The following is a 2,842-nucleotide window of genomic DNA, read 5'->3' as shown; positions in this document are numbered from 1 at the left end:
CTGGGTGGCCCAGGATAAAGGGAGGCAGTGAGCTCAAGGGCCTGGTAATCTTCCGCTGACATGCACCTCTGGGATCTCAGGTATGATTCCAACTCCCGGAGACCCCTCAACAACTCACCAGGCTGTATCCCCATCCCCATGGGACCCGATTCCTGCACACAGACTCTTTCGAGAATGAAAACAGAAGAGAGTTTCCAACGCCCACTTCACAGTCTCGAAGCGACTTTTCCTCAAGGGGACCCGACCACGGAGTTCCACTCTAGCATCATAGTGCACTCGAAGAGGCACTATGATGGAGACATTTATGTTCCCGCATTTGGTGTTGCAAGCAGCTTTTTTTTTTTTTTGAGAGCAGGCCGACTCTGCCTCCACTATTTTCCTCTGCTTAGGCAGGCTGACAGCCCTGAAAGCCGGGTGCCCGAGCCTGCCTCACGAATGCGCATGCGCCAGTCTCTGGGCACAGGTGAGAGTGGTGAGCCCTGGCTTGCGACACAGTGAATGCCACCATTGCCTGGCAATGGGTCCCTGTGGCTTGGCAGAGCAGGAGACCTCTGTGGAGGTACATCAGCGTTGGGCTCTCGTCTGTCTTCTCTTGGTGATCCCCACAGGATAGTCCCACGATCCTAGGAGTGGACAGGGACATGCCAACCTGAAGAAACGTCAAGTGGAGCCCTAGGGATGCACCTCAAAATCCCTAAGGAACCAAACGGATCCACAGGATGCATCAGGCCTGCCTAGACGGTGTGGGGGTGAGCCTACTTGAAAGTTGCCTTCCTGTGATTTCTAGGTACAGCCCACATGTGTTCCCTGAGTCTGCTCTGTCCACGGAGGGGCTCCCTGGTGTAGCAGAACCGCGCAGCCTCAGAAGCTGCTGGGTTGCGTGCTTCTGTGGGAGTGTTGCTGTGTTGGCTGTCTGCGTACGTGTGGCCGTTTGTGTCTGTGTGTCTGTGTGCGCGTGTAGGTGGAGTCTGCTGAAAGAAATGTGGCTCACACACCGGAGTGCTTTTTCTTTTGAATCAGACGACCTTTTGTTGTGCCTCTCTGTGTCGCTCTGCTTGGGCTGCGGGGCTGCATGTCCTTTAACTTCCCTGTGGTTTCTGGATTTGCGGTGAAGTGGGGAGCTGGCTGAGACATGCAGGGGTCCAAATCGCCTCCACCTGCAAAGAAGCCCCTTCTCTAGAAGGAAGAGAAGCATGCCACACCCATGAACAGACACCTCCTAGGTCCTCATCCTGCGGGCAACCCAGGGCCAGACCCTAGCAGTCCTGTTTGCAGGGTCCCTTGAATTCACTCCGAATTTGGTTCTCAACAGACCAGGTGCCTCACATCGGGAGGCGGGCACTTCTCCGTCAGCTTGGGATTTCATTCCGGGACGGAGAGTGTGAGCAGCAATAAGATCAGAGCGGGTGAGGATATAATCTGGTGAGTTGTGGATGGAGTCCCGCAACTTCACCTGCTGGAGAGGTGCAGACAAATGACACAGAAGGTGCTTTCAACTTTATCCCTGCATTTCTATCATTGCACAAGCTTTCCACACCATGGCCCACTGCTGAGAAAAAGGGACTTTAACGTATGGGAAACCATTGGGGCCCAAACTGTGGCCATTCTGGCCAGCTCCCTCTTTGTGCTTTTATTCCCAGAGTCACATGGGAGTGGGATAGATTGATGCTAGGTGGGCTATGGCCTTCACTCTGGCTTTTTTTTTTTTTTTCCTGACTTCCAAGTTTCTCATGGCCTAGGGTTTCCTAGGTCTGGCTCACAGTCTTCCACAGTAAACGTTCCCCAGTTCACAGAGGATGACCCTCAGGGCGATCCATTGCATGAGTCTTTCTTTCTAAACAGTGTCATGTTTTAATGACTGGGCAGCTGTGATACTTTTGGAACCATAGATTCCTGTTATATCAGCCAAGAAGGAAATTCTTGTTTTCCCTCTTCTATCTGAGGGCTGCATGATTCCTGTAGGGTGAGAAGCAGACAGACGTGTCTGGCTTTGCCTTGTAATCTGTTTCATTTTATCTGCACATTTCTTCTTATTGTGGAGGGTTTGTTTCATTGGGTGGTTTCTGGGTGGGACTGCCTCTTACCACGGATTTTCTAGGCTGCCAGGGATTTCAGGGAGTAAAAGGGACTTCAGGTAGGCTGGCTGCAGGCTAGGTTCTGGGCAGTGGTCTCATTGTGGGGGCTGGGGAGCTTTGCACTTTTCAGGAGGCTCTTGTGTATTCTGGCAGGAATCCCTGAATATGGCTTGGACTCCAGTACAGGCCCTGTCCTGCTCCCGGGTGAGCTTTGACTTCCTGTTGCTTTCATTGGGGGGTACACAGTACCCCTCCACAGCACTCCTGGACACCCTTTTCAGGCTTTCAATAGCCCCATATGGTCTCTGAGACACTCAACCTCATCTGCCCCAGTGAGATTTCAGTTCCAGGTGTGAGACCCCTGCTCCACCTTGGACTTGCCTTTGTCATTGTTTCTCTCTTTCCCAGACAGCCATGCTGAGAAGCAGGAGCCCCTGGGAGACAAAGGATGAAGGGAGGTAGTGAGATCAATGGCCCAACAATCTTGGGCTGACACACACCTCTGGGGTCTCAGGTATGATTCCAAATCTCAGAGACCCCACCAGACTGTATCCCCATCCGCATGGGATACGATTCCTGCACACAGCCTCCTTCAGGAATGGAATCAAAAGAGCAGTTTCCAGTGCCCACCTCACAGTCTCCAAGCAACTATTCCTCTGGCGGGACCTGGTCAAGGAGTTAGCCCGAGGAGGCCCTATGGTCAAGACATTTAGGGTCCCACATTGGTTGTTGCAGGCAGCCTTTTTCTCAAGACCAGGCCAGTCTGC

Source organism: Homo sapiens, chromosome 16 (genome assembly GCF_000001405.40).
Source record: "Homo sapiens chromosome 16, GRCh38.p14 Primary Assembly".
Lineage (NCBI taxonomy): Eukaryota > Metazoa > Chordata > Mammalia > Primates > Hominidae > Homo > Homo sapiens.
The sequence above is the reverse complement of the archived record's forward strand: the minus strand, read 5'-3'. Positions refer to the sequence as shown.